Genomic DNA, 24,571 nt, shown 5'->3' on the forward strand with positions numbered 1-24,571 from the left:
GTGAAATACTGAGTAGAAAAAGGTTGTGGAACTCATGGTTTATTCAGGGTGAGAGCCAGAGAGAATTTGCCACCTATTTTGTCTTCAGCAAAGACTTCCTAGAAGAGGTTTTAAAGCTCTTTGAATAAAGCAAGAGGGCTTAAAAGTTTACCAAAGGAAGGGTTGGGGTGAAAGATGGACAGGAATTGATGACTTCTCTCTGTGGTGTGACTGACTCTCCTATTCATCTTCCAAGTCTTTATTTAAATCAGTAGTTCTCAACTGGGGATAATTTTGCCCCCAGGGATATTTGACTATGTTTAGAACTACTTTTGGTTGTCACAACTGGAAGGGGAAAGCCACCGGTATCTAGTGGGTAGAGGTCAAGGGATGCCACTAAACCTCCCACTATGAGCAAAACAGCCCCCCATAACAAAGAATTGTCTGACCCAAAATGTCAAAAGTGCTGAGGCAGAGAGGCCCTGGTTTCGTTGAGCCTTGGGAAAGCTTTTCCTGACACACCTCAAACTACGCTAATTTCCTGTAATATCCTCATTTTACTTTGTTCTTTCCCTACATAGCATGTATCACAATTATAATTAAATACATTGTATCTGTCTCTTCCACTAAAACAACACTTCGTAGAAGAAGAAATGTATGTATCTTGTTCCCCATTGTATTGTAGCACCTATTACAATGCTTGACACATAGTAGATCCTCAATAAATATTTACTGAATGAATGAATCCATCAAGAAATAACTAATATGGAAAAATAAGAAAAAGAGATACTCAAGTTGTTAAGCAGACTGCAGTTTCAGGAATCACGTGAAGTTTGACCAGTGATCTTGGATTTCTCCATTTCAGTTCAAGAAAGTGATGAGTTTAGTCACAGTATGAAGGGAAGGTAGAACTAATAAACTCTATGTATAACATTTTTAATTTATAGACTTATTGCAGTATTTCAGCATTTTAGTTCTTTATCACTAAAGGAACTTGGATGCCAACCCTTTCAAAAAATCTCTGGGAGTTGAACCAGGATTGATCTTGTGGCAAAGAATCTTCATCGGCTGCTAGGACAGCCATTCAGTCTCACTTTCCCATTCTCTCTTACAGCCGTATGACACCATTTTGGTCAACAGGATAAAAAGCAGATCTGCTGAGACAGGATTTCTGGGAAAGCTTTTGCTTTTCTGTTAAAAAGGAGAGGCAAAACAAGTACCAACCTTCTTTTTTTTATTCCTGGTTGGACCCAATATCAGCAAACTGCCTATGCCTGCACTAATTATTAAATGAGAAAAGTATAACCCACCTCTATTTAAGCCACTGTAATTAGGTTTTCTCTTACCTGCAGCTGAACGCAGCCCTACCTATGATACATTTTTCTGCCTTGGTAGCTAATCTTTTTTTCATGGTCTTTTTAATGATGCAAAAGCAGAAACAGAGACGGTAGGTAGCACAGCTTGGCCTGGGCTTAATCTCATCTGAAGTACAAAGAAAATAGAAGGATCTAAAGTGGTAGAGGTTGTAGCCTTGAAAGATTTGTGATGGAGCCCAGTGCTGCTTTGTGGTGAGTATCAGAAAAAGAGATGCCAGAGCTCATGGTTTAAGAGGGGGGAGGGGAAAAGTATTCATAACACAGTGTGGCTGATTTCCTGTTTACATTTTGCAAGTACTTTGTGTGTGTGTGTGTGTGTGTGTGTGTGTGTGTGTGTGTGTGTGTGTGTAATGCTGAGGCAGTAGTTAGAATATGAGGGTTTTAGGTGCAGTTTTAAAGGTTCTGCATGGAGGGAAAGACCTGAACACAAAGTGGCTACTCTACAAACTCTTGTGGATACAGGTTTCAAAGCACTTCTACCATCTTCTGCTCTTCTCTCTGCTCTTCTACTCTAGGCTATGAGAATCTTGGAGGTAAGAACCATGTCTTGTTGCTCTCAGTTTCTCTGGTCCCAGAAGAGTGCCATGCCTATAGCATATTATCAGTCAATATTTTCCCAATTAAACACTTACAGTTTTCTCCCCCTTTGTCTTTAATGCATAGTTGTAAAAAAGAAGAGATGTAATTGAAGTCTGGAGGAGATTAATTTCATTTCTTTCCCTCATTTCTGGCTTTTTTTTTTACAAGCAGTATTTCCTATATTTTGAATAGAACATGAAGCCCTGAGTTAGCCAAAATGCTTAAGAAAAACTTTTTTCCAGAAAAAAAAATTGGAAAAGGAAATTTTCCCAAATTTATGTTCCACAGAACCCAGTTCCTTAAAATAAATACATTCTTTAATTTGAGCAATATTGGATTAAATAGTTACAGTGTTTGATACACTAATGTATGTTGTATCTTTCTAAGAGGTATATGGTTTGTTACTCTTCAAGTCCGTATTTAACTATGTAACCCCAAAAGGATTCCAGGACAAAAAAATCAGGGAATAATGATTATCTAATTATTAATACATGTTCAGGTGTGGCAAAGTTTGGGAGCTGCTGTTTTCGATCGTAAGTCTTGTCATGAGGAAAATACAAGGGCCTTGGTGAAGAAGGAACTAAAAGGAAAGAGGATGGCAGCTCAGAAAAAGGGAAATTGAAGCAGACAAAAAGACCCAGAAATTATGACAGGAAAGTGTAGTTTGATGCCTGCCATCATGGTCTCTAAATGTGTGGCATATCCATTTGGCAAATGGAGACCAAAGAATTTATGTCGGCAGAAGTGTTAGGCTAAGGATCAGGAGCCTGGCAATGTACTCCAGAAACTTTCTTTAAATGACTTGTGTCACTTCTCCAAACTAATTGCCTCAGGGGTGATGGGGCATATTAAACTCTTCATTTCTTCTTTCATGCAATCTTATTTGAAATGAGTTACAAGCTAAGTTGCTGGAGAACTTTTGAGTTATTTCAAGAAGATAGTCACATCATACGTATGAAAAAATTTGGTGCTTTGTTTTTTTAAAAAGTTATGTTTATTAATTTTTGTCTGAGGTCCCTGAGAATCTTAGGCAAGTTTTCATACTAACAAATTAAGAGCAATTAATTTCTAAGTAGTGTTTATGTCTGAGAGATTGGTAAGTGGTTGAGCTAATTAACAAAATAACTTATCAAAATGCATCTGCCACACTCTACTGCGGTATGCCTAATGATCATTGTGTCAGTGGTAAACTGAGTCAGGAATGGGCCTACAATTCATGTTTCAGAAGTGCTCAGTTTGGTATTTGTTGACAAATTTTAAAGCACAAAAAGACAAACACATGTTTTTTCCTTTTGACTGAATTTGAAAGTTCCAAGATGGGACCCCTAAAGCCATGAACATTGACACAGCTTGGCAAGCTCCTCATTATGGGAATACTTTGTGAAAACAACTTTGGTCTGTAAAGTATTAACACTATTTGATAAAAATCAGTTTTTATTTGGTGTGTCTTTTGAAGCTAGTGTAACTCCTGGTCATTCTATATAACTATAAAAGCTTTTTGGAATCAAATCCTAATCCCAGCATGTTTTTCTTGTTCATTTAAACCTTTTATACACATGTGGGAGCTAGAGAGAGTGGAAAGTTTTTAGGGCTTAAGCTTAAATTGTCATTCTCATGCACGGTCTCTGAAAAGTATTTGGCATGTTTGTAAGTTAAAGTATACATTTATGGTCTTAAGCATTTTCTTTTTTCTCTTTATGCTTGTTTTTTTGGTTTACAAACAAAGACTGTCTTAAAATGAGAGAGCAGACATGCTGAAGTTTGGATTGTTTGACTTACCGCCTTGTAGAAAATATCTGTGGGTGTTGATTTTCTAGGTCAAGCCCAGACTCAGGGTCCTAAAGAGAAAAAGTGTTCTCAACCCAAACTCACAAAAGCTGAGTTCAGTGCTGTAAGAGTCAAATGTAACCTCTGGAGGTTTTTTGGTTTGGGTTTTTTGTTTGTTTGTTTGTTTTTTCCATGAAAAAGAAGCAACTGAGGCTGCTGAGCAGAAATTCATAGCACTTTATTTTTCCTTTTCGGCTGTTGTGCCCAATAATCATAATATTGGCAAATAGAGTTAAACTATAAGCAATTCATCTGGCTGGGCATGGTGGCTCACGCCTGTAATCCCAGCACTTTGGGAGGCTGAGGTGGGTGGATCACAAGGTCAGGAGTTTGAGACCAGCCTGGCCAATATGGTGAAACTCTGTCTCTACTAAAAATACAAAAATTAGCCGGGTGTGGTGGTGCATGCCTGTAGTCCTAGCTACTCGGGAGGCTGAGGCAGGAGAATTGCTTGAACCCAAGAGGTGGAGGTTGCAGTGAGCCGAGATCGTGCCACTGCACTCCAGCCTGGGTGACAGAGTGAGACTCCGTCTCAAAAAAAAAAAAAAAAAAAAAATTCATCAAAGGACTAAATTTAAGTGGAATTTAGGAAAAGCTAAAAAGATATTGTTAATCGTTAATCCTGTAAAGCTGAAGATTGAAGTAAATAAGTTTCTCAGAGTGATTGTGCATGAAATGAACTGTATCAGTTAATTTTTGCTACCTAAGAGACACCTCCAAAATTCATTTCTTAAAACAACCACCACTAAATATGTATAATTATCACATGTCAGTTTAAAAAAAGAGAGAAAAATGTTTAAACCACCATTTAGTTTAGTTCATGATTCTACAAAGTCTGCAGTTTGGGGCTGGCTCCGATGAGTAGTTCTTCTGACCCGGGCTGCGGTTGACTGATCGCCGCTGGGTTCACTCATGCATCTGTGGTGGGTTAGTTGTGAACACTCTGGTCTAGGATGGCCAAAGCAAGGACAGCTGAGGCCTCTCTCCATGTAGTCTCTCAGTCTTGTCCTTATTCAGATACAACTTCCATACCTTTTCCGTTTATTTTTAATCTCTCCATGTCTCTAAATTCTTTTTTGCCATTTCCTTAATCTGGATCTTATTAGAGCATCCCCAGGGTCAACATCCTCTAGCTTGGTTGCCTGAATTTTCTTGAGACAGGGAGTAAAGTGAAAGCCAACATTTCTCCTGACTTATTTTTAATAACCTTTAGGGTTATTGTATTTGTGTCTTTTATAGTCATCAGCCCCAAATGCTTTCAGGAAGGAACTACAGTCCAAACAAAACTAATTAATTAATTAGGTGGTCAAATGATTAAAAATTGATGGCTAAACAAATTAACATTTTTATTGAATTTATTGCTTTTTATCTCTACTCCCTGTTTCCTGTATGTCTCAGATGAGCTCACCAGTCCCTGGCAATTTTGCCCTTAGAAACTTCATCCCATGGCTGATGTGGGACATCACTTAAACTGTGCAGCCACTGCAGAATGTGCCCTGATTGTCTCTCACCAATTAATCAGGAAGCTCGAAGTGGCTGATTGCTGCCTCCGTCAACACAGGATGTTTTGACATAGCTGTTTGGACAAGGCTGTTTGAGGCCCCCTACAAGACTTGCTGGCAGTTGGGAGGGGGACATGGCCCACTGGTCAAGTTTTGAAAGCAGCTACTCATCTCGCATCAAACAGCAAACCCTCAATTTTTGAGGGCCTATTGGGGGATCTACCCTGTGCCAGGCCCCCAAAAGGAGGCTCTGGTGAGCAAAATTGATATTAGGTCTGCCCTCATAGGCTATAGTCAAGTTAGTAAGAGGATTGTTCATGAGTAGTCTTCCATGTAGGTATACAAACTCTAACGAGTGTTGTGAAGAGAAAGCATTGGGAATATAGGTTTCAGAAGAGGGAAGCTTTAAAACTGTGGTGGTTGAGAATGAAGGAGTAGGTTGACCGGGAAAACATACCAGATTACCAGGTGGTAAAACTGACACCATGGATTTTCCCCCAGCAAGGTTTAGCTGTCCACATGCAGACTCTAAGAAATTGAACAATTAGGTATATCTAGAGCTGGCTGGCTGACTGGCTTCATGCTGGTTGGATCTGATGAAATTACTAAGGTGTAAGGGAGTTCTGAAATGATGCAATGTGGAATGCAAATTCAGTAACGTAAGTGAAAAATGGATGAGGCTTTCCACCCTTCATGGCGGACTTGACCAGCTATCCAGCCTATGACAAGGTAGAGCTGGCAGTCCTGAGCTATGGTATATCCCATCAAAAGGTAGTCATTGCCACTCACCTAAAAGCTGTATTTGATGATAGTGTTCTACAAAAATTATCAATTATATATAACAAAGAAAATTGCCTTTAGGCACCCTTAGATTTTTAAATGAAGTTTTCTCTATCTTATTATTACTTTCTTATAAAGTTCACTTTGTGCAAACTTATTTTTCCAAACGCAGTGACAAAGGAGCCCAAGTTAGCAGCCAAAAGGCATGGAAAGGTATCATGGTACCAGAAACTTCAGGTTTAGACATTTTGTAAAATTAGCAAAGGGCCCGAAAGCTCATGCTATTTAAATCCATACCAGTTTTCAGGATTTGTATTTTATGAAGAAGGGAATCAATGTGACAGGCGGAAGAGTGAATGCAATGAAACTCCAATCATTCACACATGTTCATCATTGCCTGCAAGACACATGGCAAATCCCAGCACTGGTGATAACGCAGAGCACTTCCAGCACTGGTGATGTTGCAGGAGTATGTACAGCCCTGGTAATATCACAGAAGACTCTACTCAGGAAAGTTTATCTGATCTGTCCTTACTACTTCCAATTAGTCTAGATTCCTTGAGGGCAATACTGGCCCTGTCTTCCCAGAATCATTGCAAACGTACTGATTAATGCACATTTTTCACCTGTTCCAGTCTTGTGTGGCCAACCTATATCTTCCATAATGATCTTCATAGGCTTCATGGGCTAATACACCACACAGCTGATAGCAACAGGCTGTGAGATCCAGCAGAGTTCCAGAGTTTAAATCTTGGCCTTACATTTTTGACAAATTTAGGTAACCCCACTGAACCTCAGTTTCCTCATAAGCCTCAGGTTTCTTTTAAACTATATAAAAACAGATATATAAAACTAAAACATAAAATGAAATAATTGCTTAGATATTTTAAATTTTATTATCTTAAATAAAAATTTATTTTGGTACTCACTAAAATATTTGCAATAATAACTATAGTGGGAGCAATGTGGTGGTGTGATTCGGAAGAGATTATAAAAGTGTCAGCTCTGCCCATTTTCTTATTTGCTTAGGCTTGTTGGCTTCTTTGCAGGAATCAAGCCGCTTGGCCATTTGAGACAGGTTAGTGAAATTAAAAGTGGGTAATATAATTTGTAAATCCACCAGTGGGTTTAAGTAAAAAATACTGCAAGCTGAAAGTGAATGAACAAGTAGGGATAATAATTGCAAGTCCTTTGGGTTGTGGAAATTGCACATGACACATGACCCACAACTTACAGAGCAGATAAGAACACAAGAGTTAATGTTAAATGTTAGTAAATTTAAATGTCAGTAAATCTTAACGTTTTTTCTAAAAATTAAAAACAGAAGTTCTAATCTTTTCTCCCTGAATTTCAACACATTTAGTGGTTCCCAAACTTGAGTACGCATCCAAGCCAACTGGAGGGTTTGTAACTCCCAAAGTTTCTGATTAAGTCGGTCTGGGGTAGGACCCAAGGATTTGCATTTCTGATGAGTTTCCATATGAAGCCTATGCTGCTGGACTTAGGGACCACACTTTCAGAAACACTGCAGTAGAGCATCTTGAAGACTCCCCAGGTTGCATTCTCCCCCAGATCTTTGGTATATATAATACAAATCTCGTTAGGATCAATGCCATCAAGAAGTAATGTTCCCTTTACATTCCAGTTTATATTACCCATTCATGTCCTACATTTCCCTTCCATCCACTCCACACTATCCGTTACCCTTCCCCCAATGAAGGCGGAAAGGGCTCAGAGGACAGGGGAAGGATGGTGCATCCTCTTTGTGAATGCAGCTGACAGTGACTTGCACTACCTGGTAAATTCATGCCCTCAGCATGTTTCCCCAGGGTGAATTAATTGCTTTGCTTTTCCTTTTCCTTTGCATAAAACTAGGCAGATTTGTCCGTCTGTTTGAACAAGACTTTGTTGCCAGCACTTTTCGAGGATGGCCAGCATGTGGCTGCTGTATGAGGTTGATAGTGTTGTCAGAAATTCCAGGGTGGGTATTGTCACTTGCGTTGGGAAATGCTAACTGAGGTCAATTCTAGTTCAACTTCCTACTTACAGAATTATGGCAGGACGTTAAGTTTGGCCCATGTAAGATGAATAGGTCAGCAGAAACATATTGTCCTCCTAATCCAGGCATCTCTACTTTTAAGCCTTAAATCAGAACGTATTTTTCCTGTATTTGAGATCCAGCAATTCATGTCCTCAAATGAGATATTTTACAATCAAAAGCACAGACAGCCAACAAAAAATTCTAAACAAACAAAAAAAAATTTAAACCAAAGTTGTACATTTAAAAGTTCTATGTGTTTTGTGTCTTTTAATTTTGAAATTGAAAGTCATTTTTTTTCAATAATTATTGCTGAGTAACAAAACTACCCCCAACATTCAGTGGCTTAAAACAACCCTTCTGTTTCTTTGCTCATGAGTCTACAATTTGCACCATTCTTGGTAGGACTCTGCTCTGTGTAGGGTCAGCTAGGGTGGCTCAGCTAAGCCAGAACAGTCTATTTCCAAATGGGCTTCACTCACTTTGATTGACAAGTTGGTACTGGAGCTGTTGGCTGGGGCCTTGGTTTTCCTCTCTGTGGTCTCACCACATGACTGGATTGGGCTTCTCACAGCAGGTTGGTCTCGGGGTAGTAGGGCTTCTTACAAGGTGCCTGGCTGTACCCAGCATGTAAAAGCAGAAACTACCAGACTTTCTGTAGGCTTAAGCTTGGAACTGGCCCATCATTGCTTCCATTACATTCTGCTGGTTAAAATGAGTCACAAAGCCAGCCCAAACTCAAGGAGACAGTAGACACAGGGGCATGGACACCAGCAAGTGTGGGTCTTTGGAGCCCACCAAAGCAACCGCCTACTGAAGTCATGATGATGCTGGATTTTCCACTCCCTACTGTTTCGGAGCTCTTTGCATTCCATACCACAATCAGGCCAGCTCAGCATAAACAGAGGCAGGTTGTTAATCTCAGGATGAACAATAGTGCTTCCCAAAGAGGGAATAGTGGCTTTGACTTTAGTTGAGAGGGAATTGTTGGAGTGCAAGGACATGTGTCTGCTGAATAGGCATCTCTATTAACTTTCTGCCCAAACACTCTTCTAGCTACTTTATCTCCCCTTATCCTGCCTCCTTTTTTCTTCATAGCACTCACCACTGCCTAATGCTTTATTAAGTAGTTGTTTACTTGGTTATTGTCTGTTTCCCTCCAGTCAAATGTAAAACTCCCAGGGGAAGACACTCGGTCTCTTTTGCTCTACGCTGGGTGCCCAGCATCGAGAGTGCCTGGCACATAGAAAGCTCCTCATAAATATTTATTGCATGAATGATTATATAAATTTCATAACTGAGAATCTGCATATGAGAATACGCAGACATGACAACTTCAAAATAAGCTGCTATGATGCAGGGGCTATGGCTGAGGTTTGTCTCTCTCTGTAGAGCCTGGGCTGCATGTCCCCTTGTTGCATATGGGGTGTACCCTCTGCCAGTTCCCATGGTGTCATTGTTTGGAGGTGTCAATGGACATCAATCATGGGGTTAGAGGCTTTTTCTGTAGAGCCTCCAGTTCCTTTATTTGGCCAATTAGGCTTTGTGCTCCCGTTTCCGAACACAGAGGTAGGAGAAACATGAACCTGGCTTTATCTAACGTCTTAGTTTTAAGGAATAAGCATCTGGTGCAGCGCTATATTATTTCCAATTAAAACTTGGATATCCTTATCCTTGCTAAGACTGGTTAGTGAGCATTAGCTATTCATGCCTAAAAAGAGGCTTAACCAGGTAGTTTTTCATTATATTCTGTCTTTCACTTGATGGAGAGGGGCGGGCAGGCTTGCTGGCTTGCTTTCTTTTTCTTTCTTTCTTTTCTTTTTCTCTCTGGTTTGCTTTCTACTAATCCATATATTTTTTCTTTTTTTCTATAGCATCCCTTTGAAAATTCGGTATAATTTGTTAGAATCCTCATTTGTGCTCATCCTCCTGTCCCTGCACTCCTTTGATTGTTTATCGATCACAGAAAAATCGGATTTTCTTAATGAATATTATGTGCTTGCATCTCATTTGGTTACAGGTCACCTAGATCTGTCACTTGTGGGACCTCGCCTTTGAATGCCCAGTCTATTTCTTATCATTTATGGAGTCTTTATCTGAAACCCATTTATTCTGGCTCTGTGCAAAGTGGTCCTCAGTGCTATGGTTTCCAACCATTTTACCAGCCCGGAAGACACTTGGGCGTTTTCAAAAGAGGTTAAAAAAATTGCTTTGAAAAAGCATTTTAAATATTTCTGTTGGATTGTGTTCTGGTTATTTTCCTCCATGTCTTTTTGTTTTCCCTTGTTCCATCCCCATCCTCACCCATATTCATGCTTGTGTCACTGAAGTATGGCTACTCTACTCACAGCAGCCTCAGCCCGGTCTGGCTGCACAAGGAGGCCATCTGGCTAAGAGTGTTCCCCAAGAGCTCTAATGTGAGTGTTTCTGATTATGCTAACCTTAACCAAGTTCTTCAAAGATGCTATAGCTGTCGGAGTTTTCTGAGCCATTTTAGATCCTAGGCCTAGAGATGCTAGAATATCAAATGTGTTTTAAGTCGAAATAAGAAACAACAGTGTCCTGTGAGTTTGCACCCTGAATGCAAACACTGCTCCAAGGCACTGTCCCAAAACCAGCTGTGAGTTAGTGAATTTGGAGTTCTGCGTTGAAGTGGCCCAGTTGAACTTCTGAAAGTGAACCAAGGCGAGGCCATGGGTATGTTGGGACCTAAATGAAAGACTGTGAACACAGTTCCCTTTTTCATCACCCCAGCCTCCTTTCTCTCTCTCTTCACCTGAATCCCCATCTTTTCTGATATGAACTTGTCCCCTGGCTCTCCAAAACTAGGAGAGGAAAACAATCTCAGATTCTCTCCTGTCCAAGTACTAACCAGGGCCAACCCTGCTTAGCTTCTAAGATCAGATGAGATGGGGCACATTCATGGTGGTATGGCCATACACCAATCTCAGATTCTCTTGGGTTTGGCAACAGCCTTGAGGCCTCTGATAATGGGAGTCTACCAGAAGCAAGTTTAAAACCATTTGTTATTTATTTTCTTGGCTTCTCTTTGTCAAGCAAGTCTGTTTTTAGCATTACTCCTTAGATTTTTGTAGTATTAACCTGCCCCAATTTGTAAGAAACTTAATGTTTTTCTTGTCTTTTTCTTTCTCACTTTCTGTTTGCAATTTGGTTAACTAATTAGCTTATTGCTCATTTTTCTCAAAATGGACCTATATCATGTCAGCAGGACAAAATTATTAGGAAGCTCTGAACAGAGCTCAACTCAAATTTGCAAACCTTCTCTTCCATTATTTACTGCATCCATTTCAGGAATAAGTAACATCACTCATTACTTTCCACTTCCTTCTTGAGCTGTGTGTATAGTGGGAAGAACACTGAACTGAGAGCTGAAAAGACTTGAATTCCAGATGTGACTCTGCAGCGTATGAACTGGACTGTCCTTGGACATTCACTTCTCAAAGACTCGGCTTTTCTCATCTGTGTAACATAAATGATCATGACTATCCTGCCTATTATGAAGTCATTGAAAAGCCAAGTGAGAAGTCATCTTCTGAGCAAACGCTAGTTGTGCACCTCTTATGTGCCAAGTAATACGTGAGGCACTTAGAATACAGAAATCAAGTGAAGTTTCTAACTGCCTTTTGGAGATGTTTTCATCATCAACACACAGCTGCCTTTACTTTAAAGTTTAGACCCATGATAACAGAGTTCCTATAGTTTGGCTTTTAGTTGTCTCATCACCTCTTTCAATGGTAAGTGGTGATTAAGTTGATGGCAGGAGGCAAGAAACCCAGCTCTGAATTCTCACAGTACTGTAGTGGCACTCGTGGACAGAACCTGCTGAATTAATTTTATATCACCATACTATAGAGTCTGCCACGTAGTAGGGTGTCAGTGGAAACTTGCTTAAATTAATTCATAATCATGAATGAGTGAATCAATGACAAACATTACACTGGACCCTTTAGATTTGTTTTCTGCGCTTGGCAGTATCAATACAGATTCCTATGAAGTTTTTATTTTTTTCTTGTCTTATCTGAGTCCAGTTATTTTTCACTGGTAATTTTTTCTCTTAACTTGTTAAAATTAACCATAAGATTGATATCTTTTGTGGGAAAACTGCTGCTGAGATTTTTTTTTTTTTTGTCTTACCCCAAAGTAGATTCAGTAATGTTGTGAAGAAATAAAGTAATTAAAACCAAAATTCTGATAACTCTTAACGTTGTAGGTGGCCATGATTGACAGATACTTCCATACTTCTTAACCCTAAATTTTCTTCTTTGGCCAGATAATTATGGTGAGGCCAGAGAGGTCCTAAAAATAGGCCCAGCGGTCTTTGACCCAGTTGTGACAATAAACCCAGACTTCAAGTGGTTCTATACTATCATCTTAAGCTGTCTGTGGAATTCTTTTAGGGCCTGAATATATGAAATGCTTTCTAAGGAGAGAGAACAAGAGTTTTGCAAATCTCATAATATAAAGTGCAGTATATTATGACTATATGTTCATGCATTTTTCTGGGGGAGCACATTCATAGTTTTTGTGGGATTCAAGACCCTCTCCCCATTCCTTTCCACCCCAAACCCCCCACCCCCACCAAAAATAGTTAAGGATACTTGATTGAAAGATTCTGGTCCACTTAGAGAATGTGATTTCTTAAGACTAACATAGTTTCCTTTCCCAGAATTGTCATGTAGCAGTTACAAAAATGTAACCCTCCAAACTGCCTGGCGGTAAACTTCAAGTTAGACAAGTCTATAATGTGACTCATGGAACTTTCTCATGCTTTTGCATTCAATAATCAGAAAAATCCCCTGTAACTTTTTCATGCTTCTGAAGACAGTAATCAGGAAAATCCTTGAGGAGACTGTGGTTTTATAGGATGCTAAATCAGGTTATGATTGTGTGTACCCTGATGGTATGTTTTTCCTGTCTGGAATTTCCTCTTGGGGGTGGTCTGTTCTTCTCGTTTCTAAAACTTATATCAACATCCTCTTGGACCCAGAAGTGTACGCTACTCATTTATTTTATGTTACGTTATTTTGGATAAAGGAGAAAAAGAACTATCATAAGCCATGGAATACCTTCCCATGGTACAAGCAAACCGAGTTGTTATTCTTCCTCATACATTGAAGAACTGGAAGCTGAACTTACTCGGCTCCCCTCAATGCCCATCTTTTAGGCACTCAACATAAACCAAGCTGTGCACCCCACTTAACTATTCTGAGTAAAATGCCTCAGTATTTCATCTTGCTTTTGTTGGGTTTGATGTATTGGAGACAGGGTTAGATACACTGAGCAATCATAGCTAAAAAGCAGCCTGCGCTTTGCTGCTATTCAATTGTTGAAGGGGTCCTCCCTGGGGTTACTGAGTTTCATGAACTGGGAAAAGGAGGAATTTTGAACCACATACATTTGTTTGCAAAGTCTTTTTTTTTTTTTCTTTTCCTTTTCCATCCAGCATAGCATAACACAGAAACCATGAAACCATGAGCACACACTCTGCATTCAGGCTATCTGGGTTTGAATCCCAGCTCTTCCACTTCATAAGCTGTGCAACTTTGGGCAAGTTATAGCACCTTGCTGGGTCTACAGTCAACATCCAGAGAATAAAGATACTATTACTGCTTACCTTATAGGATGTACAGGAAAATTAAATAATATTTGTAAACAGCTTAGAATACTACCTGGTGTGTTCAAAGTGCTACATGTGTGTTTTTAAATAAATCTGAGTACCGAGGGTAACAGTGGAGATTCATGTGGGGACATCCTGTCAGAATCAAGCATGAGAAGCCTGATTGCCACCATCGGGCTGGTTGTTGTGGTTAGGTTTGGGCGTGTTTTTTGTTTGAGGGGATTTAAAAAATCTTTTCCATCCATCTCTTCTAAGGGCAGGGTTTTCCTTGGCTGATCTCCCACTCTCCAAGGACTTTAAGATCTGAGATAATCTGATGGAATCCTTGTATTTTAACCCCTTTGTCACACAGTGAAGCACTTCAGTCATAGCCCCTTAGCCTCTTCTTGACAGGAGTTTATTTGGCTGGAGTTTGTTTGTTTGTTTGTTTATTTGTCACTTCTCCAGCTTTGTTTGACCTCTACTACTAACCACTGAGCCTGATTTAACCTTTTAAAAAAAAATTGTCATTATTCTATAGATGGCACTTGCAAATCAGTTTTGAGAAGAGCTGCTTGTAAGTCATCAGGATGTTCATGATTAAATATAATCATGTGTTATCAGACTGAAAGCAAAACGAAAGCAAGACATTGTGACCACAGCATTTTCCAAACCTCATAATTAGCTAAAATAGTTTTAATGTAAGAATCACAAGATCCATTTTAGGCATGCAAATTGTATCCTAAGTCTCATAATACATACTTGGGCCAGAACATAGAAAATAATTTTATTTGCTTTGTGAGTAAGTCTCTTATTTTTTTATGGGATGCGTCTATAATGAACTTAGCTGTCACTAATTAGAAAAAAAAGTTAAGCAGGAACTTGGAAAATAACTTTTTTATTACAAAGAAAATGCTCATATCATTTTTAGAAATATTCTTTTATTTTTAAAAATTCTCTATTTGCAAGTTAATAGAAAGGAGATGTAGTAAAGATCGCTGATTACAAGATCTATTTCTTGCTGGTATTCTGATTACACTTAGCTTTAAGGAGAGTAAGTGCTGTATCTATAGCGATGTTAGTGATTTGACAGAGACATTCTGAATTTTTCAAAGAGAAGTATTTATGGAATTTTAGAATCTTCTAGCCTAGTTTCTTCCTCTTCTGGATAAGAAACTTGAGATCCACCAAAGCTGAAGTGTTCAGCTAAGTGAAAGCAGAGTACAAAAGCTAATTTTAACTATAGGAGGGAAAAAAAGGTTTAAACGTTGCCTTTTGACATTTTCTAAGTTTTATTTACATTAAATATTCTTAGTGTTTTGATAAAAGTCTATTTTTTATAATAGTCTATTTCTAAAGGGAAATTCTGCTTGATAATTTCATGATCTTTGATAATCTTTAATAATTTACATGAAAGAAAAAATAGAAACAGAGCTTAGATTTTTTCTTTCTTTTTTTTTATTATACTTTAAGTTCTGGGATACACGTGCAGAATGCGCAGGTTTGTTACATAGGTATACATGTGCCATGGTGGTTTGCTGCACCCATCAACCCATCATCTACATTAGGTATTTCTCCTGATGCTGTCACTCCCCTTGCCCCCCATTCCCTGACAGGCCCTGAAGTATGATGTTTCCCTCCCTGGGCCCATATGTTCTCATTGTTCAACTCCTAATTATGAGTGAGAATATGCGGTGTTTGGTTTTCTGTTCCTGTGTTAGTTTGCTGAGAATGATGGTTTCCAGCTTCATCCATGTCCCTGCAAAGAACATGAACTCATTCTTTTTTATGGCTGCATAGTATTCCATGGTGTATATGTGCCACATTTTCTTTACCCAGTCTAACATTGATGGGCATTTGGGTTGGTTCCAAGTCTTTGCTATTGTGAATAGTGCTGCAATAAACATACGTGTGCATGTGTCTTTGTAGTAGAATGATTTATAATCCTTTGGGTATATACCTACTAATGAGATTGCTGGGTCAAATGGTATTTCTAGTTCTAGATCCTTGAGGAATCACCACACTGTTTCCCACAATGGTTGAACTAATTTATACTCCCACCAACAGTGAAAAAGCATTCCTATTTCTTCACATCCTCTCCAGCATCTGTTGTTTCCTGACTTTTTAATGATCGCCATTCTAACTAGCATGAGATGGTATCTCATTGTGGTTTTGATTTGCATTTCTTTAATGACCAGTGATAATGAGCTTTCTTTCATATGTTTGTTGGCTGCATAAATGTCTTCTTTTCAAAAGTATCTGCTCATATCCTTCTCCCACTTTTTGTTGGGGTTGTTTTTTTCTTGTAAATTTGTTTAAGTTCCTTGTAGATTCTGGATATTAGCCCTTTGTCAGATGGATAGACTACAAAACTTTTCTCCCATTCTGTAGGTTGCCTGTTCACTCTGATGATAGTTTCTTTTGCTGTGCAGAAGCTCTTCAGTTTAATTAGATCTCATTTGTCAATTTTGGCTTTTGTTGCCGTTGCTTTTGGTGTTTTAGTCATGAAGTATTTGCCCATGCCTATGTCCTGAATGGTGTTGCCTAGGTTTTCTTCTAGGGTTTTTATGGTTTTAGGTCTTACATTTAAATCTTTAATCCATCTTTAGTTAATCTTTGTATAAGGTGTAAGGAAGGGGTGCAGTTTCAGTTTTCTGCATATGGCTAGCCAGTTTTCCCAACAATGCTTATTAAATAGGGAATCCTTTCCCCATTTCTTGTTTTTGTCCGGTCAAAGATCAGATGGTTGTAGATGTGTGGTGTTATTTCTGAGACCCCTGTTCTTTTCCATTGGTCTATATATCAGTTTTGGTACCAGTACCATGCTGTTTCAGTTACTGTAGCCTTGTAGTATAGTTTGAAGTCAGGTAGCATGATTCATCCAGCTTTGTTATTTTTGCTTAGGATTGTCTTGGCTATACAGGCTCCTTTTTGGTTCCAAATGAAATTTAAAGTAGTTTTTTCTAATTATGTGAAGAAAGTCAATAGTAGCTTGATGGGAATAACATTGAATCTATCACGATATTGATTCTTCCTATCCATGAGCATGGAGTGTTTTTCCATTTGTTTGTGTCCTCTCTTATTTCCTTGAGCAGTGGTTTGTAGTTCTCCTTGAAGAGGTCCTTCACATCCCATGTAAGTTGTATTTCTAGGTATTTTATTCTCTTTGTAGCAATTATGAATGGGACTTTGCTCATGATTTGGCTCTCCGTTTCTCTATTATTGGTGTATAGGAGTACTAGTGATTTTTGCACATTGAATTTGTATCCTAAGGCTTTGCTGAAGTTACTTATCAGCTTAAGGAGATTTTGGGCTGGGACAACGGGGTTTTCTAAATATACAATCTTGTCATCTGCAAACAGAGACAACTTGACTTCCTCTCTTCCTATTTCAAAACCCTTTATTTCTTTCTCTTGCCTGATTGCCCTGGCCAGAACTTCCAATACTATGTTGAATAGGAGTGGTGAGAGAGGACATTCTTGTCTTGTGCTGGTTTGCAAAGGGAATCCTTCCAGGTTTGCCCATTCAGTATGATATTGGCTGTGCGTTCTCATTAATAGCTCTTATTATTTTGAGATATGTTCCATCAATACCTAGTTTATTGAATGTTATTAGCATGAAGGGTTGTTGAATTTTATTGAAGGCTTTTCCTGCATCTAATGAGATAATTATGTGGTTTTCATCATTGGTTCTGTTTATGTGATGGATTACATTCATTGATTTGCATATGTTGAACCAGCCTTGCATCCCGGGGATGAAGCCGACTTGATCATGGTGAATAAGATTTTTAATGTGCTGCTGGATTCAGTTTGCCAGTATTTTATTGAGGATTTTCGCATTGATGTTCATCAGGGATATTGGCCTGAAATTTTCTTTTTTTTTTTTAATCTCTGCCAGGTTTTGGTATCAGGATGATGCTGGTCTCATAAAATGAGTTAGAGAGGAGTCACTCTTTTTCTATTGTTGGGAATAGTTTCATAAGGAATGGTGCCACTTCCTCTTTGTACCTCTGGTAGAATTTAGCTGTGAATCCATCTGGTTCTGGGCTTTTTTTGGTTGGTAGGATATCAGTTACTGCCTCAATTTCAGAACTTGTTTTTGGTCTATTCAGGGATTCGACGTCTTCCTGGTTTAGTCTTTGGAGGGTGTATGTGTCTAAGAATTTATCCATTTCTTGTAGATTTTCTAGCTTATTTGCATAGAGGTGTTTATAGTATTCACTGATGGTAGTTTGTATTTCTGTGGGTTCAGTGGTGATCTCCCCTTTATCATTTTTTATTGTGTCTATTTCATTCTTCTCTTTTTATTAGTCTGGTTAGTGGTCTATCTATTTTGTTAATTTTTTAAAAAAATACCACCTCCTGGATTCATTGATTTTTCGAAGGGTTTTTCAATTCTCTGTCTCTTTCAGTTCTGCTCTGACTTTAGTTATTTCTTGTCTTCTGCTAGCTTTTGAATGTGTTTGCTCTTGCTTCTCTAGTTCTTTTAATTGTGATGTTAGAGTGTTGATTTTAGATCTTTCCTGCTTTCTTCTGTGGGCATTTAGTGCTATAAATTTCCCTCTAAACACTACTTTAGCTCTGTACCAGAGATTCTGGTATGTTGTGTCATTGTTCTCACTGGTTTCAAATAACTTATTTATTTCTGCCTCAATTTTGTTATTTACCCAGTAGTCATTCAGGAGCAGGTTGTTCAGTTTCCATGTTGTTATGAGGTTTTGAGTGAGTTTCTTAATCCTGAGTTCTAATGTGATTGTACTGTGGTCTGAGAGACTGTTTGTTATGATTTCTGTTCTTTTGCATTTGCTGAGGAATGTTTTACTTCCAATTATGTGGTTGATTTTAGAATAAGTGCTATGTAGTGCTGAGAAGAATGTATATTCTGTTGATTTGAGGTGGAGAATTCCATAGACATCTACTAGGTTTGCTAGCTCCAGAGCTGAGTTCAAGTCCTGAATATCCTTGTTAATATTCTGTGTCATTGATCTGTCTAATATAGACAGTGGGGTGTTAAAGTTTCCCAATATTATTGTGTGGGAGTCTAAGTCTCTTTGTAGGTCTCTAAGAACTTGTTTTATGAATCTGGGTGCTCCTGTATTGGGTGCATATATATTTAGGAGAGTTCGCTCTTCTTGTTGTGTTGATCCCTTTACCATTATGTAATGGCCTTCTTTGTCTCTTTTGATCTTTGTTGGTTTAAAGTCTGTTTTATCAGAGACTAGGATTGCAACACTTGCTTTTTTTGCTTTCCATTTGCTTGGTAAATCTTCTTCCATCCCTTTATTTTGAGCCTATGTGTGTCTCTGCATGTGAGATGGGTCTCCTGAATACAGCATACTGATGGGTCTTGACTTTTGATCCAATTTGCCAGTCTGTGTCTTTTAATTGGGGCATTTAGCCAATTTACATTTAAGGTTAATATTGTTATGTGTGAATTTGATCCTGTAATTATGATGCCAGCTGGTTATTTTGCCCATTACTTGATGCGGTTTCTTAAGAGTGTCAATGGTCTTTACATTTTGGTTTGTTTTTGCAGTTGGCTGGTACCGGTTTTTCCTTTTCATATTTAGTGCTTCCTTCAGGAGCTCTTGTAAAGCAGGCCTGGTGGTGACAAAATCCCTCAGCATTTGCTTGACTGTAAATTTCTCCTTCACTTCTCCTTCACTTATAAAGCTTAGTTTGGCTGGATATGAAACTCTCAGTTGAAAATTCTTTTTTTAAGAAGGTTGAATATTGGCCCCTACTCTCTTCTGGCTTGTAGGGTTTCTGCAGAGAGATCCACTGTTAGTCTGTTGGGCTTCCCTTTGTGGGTAACCTGACCTTTCTCTCTGGCTGCCCTTAACATTTTTTCCTTCATTTCAACCTTGCTGAATCTGATGATGATGTGTCTTGGAGTTGCTCTTCTCAAGGAGTGTCTTAGTGGTGTTCTCTGTATTTCCTGAATTTGAATGTTGGCCTACCTTGCTGGGTTGGGGAAGTTCTCCTGGATAATATCCTGAAGTGTGTTTTCCAATTTGATTTCATTCTCCCTGTCACTTCCAGGTACACCAATCAAACGTAGGTTTGGTCTTTTCACATAGTCCCATATTTCTTGGACACTTTGTTCCTTCCGTTTCATTCTTTTTTCTCTAATCTTGTCTTTACGCTTTATTTCATTAAGTTGATCTTCAATCTCTGATATCCTTTCTTCTGATTTATCAATTCAGCTATTGATACTTGTGTATGCTTCACAAAGTTCTTGTGCTATGTTTTTCAGCTCCATCAGGTCATTTATGTTTTTCTCTAAACTGGTTATTCTAGTTAGCAATTCCTCTAACCTTTTATCAAAGTTCTTAGCTTCCTTGCATTGGATTAGAACATGCTCCTGTAACTCGGAGGAGTTTGTTATTACCCACTTTCTGAAGCCTACTTCTGTCAATTTATCAAACTCATTCTCCATCCAGTTTTTTTTCCCTTGCTGCCAAGGAGTTGTGATCCTTTGGAGGAGAGGAGGCATTCTGGTTTCTGAAATCTTCAGCCTTTTTTTGCCAGTTTTCCTCATCTTCATGGATTTATCTACCTTTGTTCTTTGCTGTTGGTGACCTTCAGTGAGTTTTTGCGTGGTCATCCTTTTTGTTGATGTTGGTGCTATTGCTTTCTGTTTGTTAGTTTTCTTTCTACCAGTCGGTCCCCTCTTCTGCAGGTCTGCTGGAGTTTGCTGGGGTCCATTCCAGACCCTGTTTGCGTGAGTATCACCAGTGGAGGCTGCAGAACAGCAAAGATTGCTGCTTTCTCCTTCCTCTGGAAGCCTCGTCCCAGAGGGGCACCAGCCATATGCCAGCTGGAGGTGTCCTGTTTGAGGTATCTGTCGACCCCTGCTGGGAGGTGTCTCCCTTTCAGGAGGCACAGGGTTCAGGGACCCACTGAGGAGGCAGTCTGTCCCTTAACAGAGCTTGAGTGCTATGCTGGGAGATCCACTGCTCTCTTTAGAGCCAGCAGGCAGGAATGTTTAAGTCTGCTGAAGCTGCACCCACAGCCGCCCCTTCCTCTAGGTGCTGTGTCCCAGGGAGATAGAGAGATGGGAGTTTTATCTATAAGCCCCTGTCTGGGGCTGCTGCCTTTCTTTCAGTAATGCCCTGCCCAGAGTGGAGGAATCTAGAGAGGCAGTCTGGCTACAGCAGCTCTACCAAGCTGCAGTCGGCTCTGCCCAGGTCGAACTTCCTGGCAGCTTTCTTTACACTGTGAAGGGAAAACTGCCTACTAAAGCCCCAGTAATGGTGGACGCCCCTCCCCCGACCAAACTCAAAAGTCCCAGGTCAACTTCAGACTGCTGTGCTGGCTGCAGTACTCTCATTCCAGTGGATTTTAGCTTGCTGGGCTCCAATGAGCAAGACCACTTGGCTCCCTGGCTTCAGCCCCCTTTCCAGGGGAGTGAACGGTTCTGTCTCGCTGGCATTCCAGGCGCCACAGGGGTATGGAAAATACTTCTGCAGCTAGCTCGGTGACTGCCCAAAAGCTGCCCAGTTTTGTGCTTGAAACCCAGGGCACTTGTGGGGTAGGCACCTGAGGGAACCTCCTGGTCTGTGGGTTGCAAAGACCATGAGAAAAGCATAGTATCTGGGCAGGAGTGCACCATTACTCAAGGCACAGACCCTCATGGCTTCCCTTGGTTAGGGGAGGGAGTTCCCTGACTCCTTGTGCTTCCTGGGTGAAGCAGTGCCCCACCCTGCTTTGGCTCATCCTTCATGGGCTACACCCACTGTCTAACCAGTCCCAGTGAGATGAACCAGGTACCTCAGTTGGAAATGCAGAGATCACCAGCCTTCTGCGTTGGCCTCTCTGGGAGCTGCAGACTGGAGCTGTTCCTATTCAGCCATCTTGCCCAGGAACAGAGCTTAGATTTTATGGCAAATGTTGATGAGTAAGAAAAAAAGTTATTACTTTCAATCGATTTACAGGTCCTGGCAATTGAAACATGAAAGTTGAGTGGATAGGAGCTTTAAAAAAAAAGCTTTGATTCAACCTAACCCATATGTTTTGTAGGCAAAACGAAGAGTGCAAAATTGGATAGGACATAATTTAAGGACATTATTGTCCAGGAAAGTTGATGAAAGAAGTATACAGAAAACTATAGTACAAAGAAAAATGTAAAAATTTTCACTAGGGAGGTATAAGCGAAGTGTTATAAGAGGTTAGAGAAGGAACGTAGGCTGTGGGGCTAGTCTGATGGCTCTCCATGATATCTATAATTGATGGCTCCCAAATGTTTACCTCCAGGTAAACATTATCTGGAGCTCAACTCATACATCCAGCTGCCAGCTAGGTATCTCCACTTAGATATCTAACGTAGCATGTCCAGAACTCAATTCCAGCCTTGCTCCTGAAAACCTTCTTTCCTACAACTTTCGCCATCTGGGTTGATGGCAACTTCATCTTTCCAGTTGCTTAGGCCACTTGACATCATTCTTGTCTCCTTTCTTTCTGTCTTATACTACATCTGATCTAAGAGGAAATTCTATTGACTCCACCACAGTATGGGTCTACAATCTAATGACTTCTCCACTACCATCATCCTGGTCCAAGCCACCATTGCTTCTCAACTAGATTATTGAAGTAGCCTACTAGACCGTTTCCTTGCCTCCACCCTTTCCATGCCTTATAACTTTTTCACAGCACAACACAGATCAGTTGACATCACTTGTATTTCCCAGTCTCCCTGTGGCCCCTCATTCCTCTCAAAGTCCTACATGATCTGTGGCACCCCTCAGCTTCATCCCTACTAACATCTCTTTCTCTGACTTGGCTCCAGCCACATTGGCCGCCTTTGCTGTTCCTCTTACATGACAGTAGACTCCCATCTCGGGTCCCTGGCACTGGCTCAAATGTTCTCTCAGATATCCATATAGATCTTTCCTTAACTTCCTTCCACTCATTGCTCAAACATCTTCTTAGTAGGTTCTATCCTGACCATTCTCTTTCAAATTTCAATGCCCTCTCCTAGCATTTCTGATTCTCCTTACAGTTTCTTTTTTCTTATATAGCACTTCTTATCTTTTAGCATACTATATAATTTATCTATTCTTTTTTTGTTTTATTTTGTGATTTATTATCCAGATTCTTCTGTTAGAATCTGAATTCCAAAAGGGCAGGATCCTTGCTTGTTTGGTCCACTGCTAAATCCCAAGTGCCTGGAACAGTATCTGGCACAGAGCAAGTACTCAATGAATATTTGTGAATAAGTAAGCAAGTGGACTCATGAGGGAATTGGGGTTACTCCAAAAAAAATGGAGGTGGTAAGCAATTTTTAAACAACACTGGCTCACAGCCCCCTATGAAAGTCTGTTGAATCCTATGTACCTCCTTCCCAGAATAATGCACATCTGCAAATTTACACAAAATGTGGGCTTCACACTCAGGAGGCTCATTCACATTCTAAGATTCATCATCCAAGGACCCAAGATTAAGAACCTATGTCCTAGGTAGAAAGAACAATATAGACAAAGATTCAGAGGCTGGAATGTGCAGTATGGGTTAGAGATTCAGCAGGAACTATTTGGCTTGAGTGTGTGATGAAGTAAGAGAGCAATGGAAGACTTGTTTGGGCTGTATCGGAGAGGGCCTTGAATGCCACAGTGAAGGTTGTTTCTATTTGACATGCAAGGCAATAGAAAACATGAGGAACCATATCCAGTAATTTTGTCTTTTATTTACCAGCAATTCAATATATAACTTTGCACAATTTATTTCTGTCTTCCTTTGCCTTTTAAACATGTGAAACGGGTAAAATTTCTGAAAGATTTGTACAAGCTGCCTCTTATTATGAAAGATATCGTTAAGTACTTCATTTTTGACAATTAAAATGCATCTTAGTTTATTAACTTCCCTTACACTTCTGACATATCTCAGTTGTATCATTATCCTAGAATCTGATTACTATTAGTATCATTTGATTCATTGACATCTAAGTTTTCAATTGATGCTTTGTTTTGATATTTGGGGGATATCTAGAAATTTCCCATCACTCAAAGGCCCTAAAAATTCTCCCAAATGTGGCAGTACAGAAAATGAGACCATTCTGGGCTTCTAGCTTCCTATCCAGAATGTCCTGTGTACCATGCAAAAGGTATATAAGCCAACCATGTTTTCTTTCTTTCTTTTTTTTTTTTTTTTTTTTTTTTTTTGGCTGGAGGCTCAAGGGATTCTAGCCAGGAATACAGGTGCATGTCACCATGCCCAGCTAATTTTTTGTGAAGGTGGGGTTTCACCATGTTGCCCAGATTGGACTCAAATTCCTGGGCTAAAGTGATCCTCCTGCCTCGGCCTCTCAAAGTACTGGGATTATAGGCATGAGCCACCATGCCTGTCTCATCCATGCTTTCTACTCTCCCTCCCAAATTAAAAATATGGTTCTATGTTCCAGTTACAATTGTTGTGTAACAAACCACCCAGAACTGAGGGGCATAAAACAACCATTTATTCTGCTCACAGAGTCTCTGAGTTAGGAATTTGAGCAGGGCACAACAGAAATGGCTTATCTCTGCTCCACAATACCTAGGGTCTCAGCAAAAAAATGTCCAAAGTCCAAGAGTGACTTGAAGGCCAGATATTGAAATCACATGAAGGATTATTCATTTTCGTGTCTGTTATCTGGGCTAGGATAATTCAAAGGTTGAGATTGTGGACTAAAAGCCTTACTCTCAATGTGGTTTTGGTTTCCTCACAACCATGGAGACCTCAGGGTAATCTAACTTGTTATGGGGGCAGCTCCAGTACAACTATTTCAGTGAACAAGGTAGAAACAGCCTAGCTTTTTGTGACCTAATGTCAGCAATCACATGGCAACATTTCTGCCATACCACAGTAGTCACAACTGTGCCTCCATTCATGGAGAGGAA

At 39.7% G+C, this 24,571-nt stretch overlaps 1 protein-coding gene and 1 pseudogene across 2 annotated transcripts in view; one reads left to right on the top strand and one right to left on the bottom strand.

Annotated features, from left to right (window-relative positions):
* The window catches only part of RARB (retinoic acid receptor beta), a 768,612-nt gene that overhangs the window by 512,049 nt on the left and 231,992 nt on the right, over window positions 1-24,571 (top strand). The gene's annotated exons all lie outside the window — the stretch shown is intronic.
* RNA5SP126 (RNA, 5S ribosomal pseudogene 126) lies at window positions 10,915-11,023 on the bottom strand (annotated as a pseudogene).

Source organism: Homo sapiens, chromosome 3, assembly GCF_000001405.40.
Source record: "Homo sapiens chromosome 3, GRCh38.p14 Primary Assembly".
In the NCBI taxonomy this organism is placed as follows: Eukaryota; Metazoa; Chordata; class Mammalia; order Primates; family Hominidae; genus Homo; species Homo sapiens.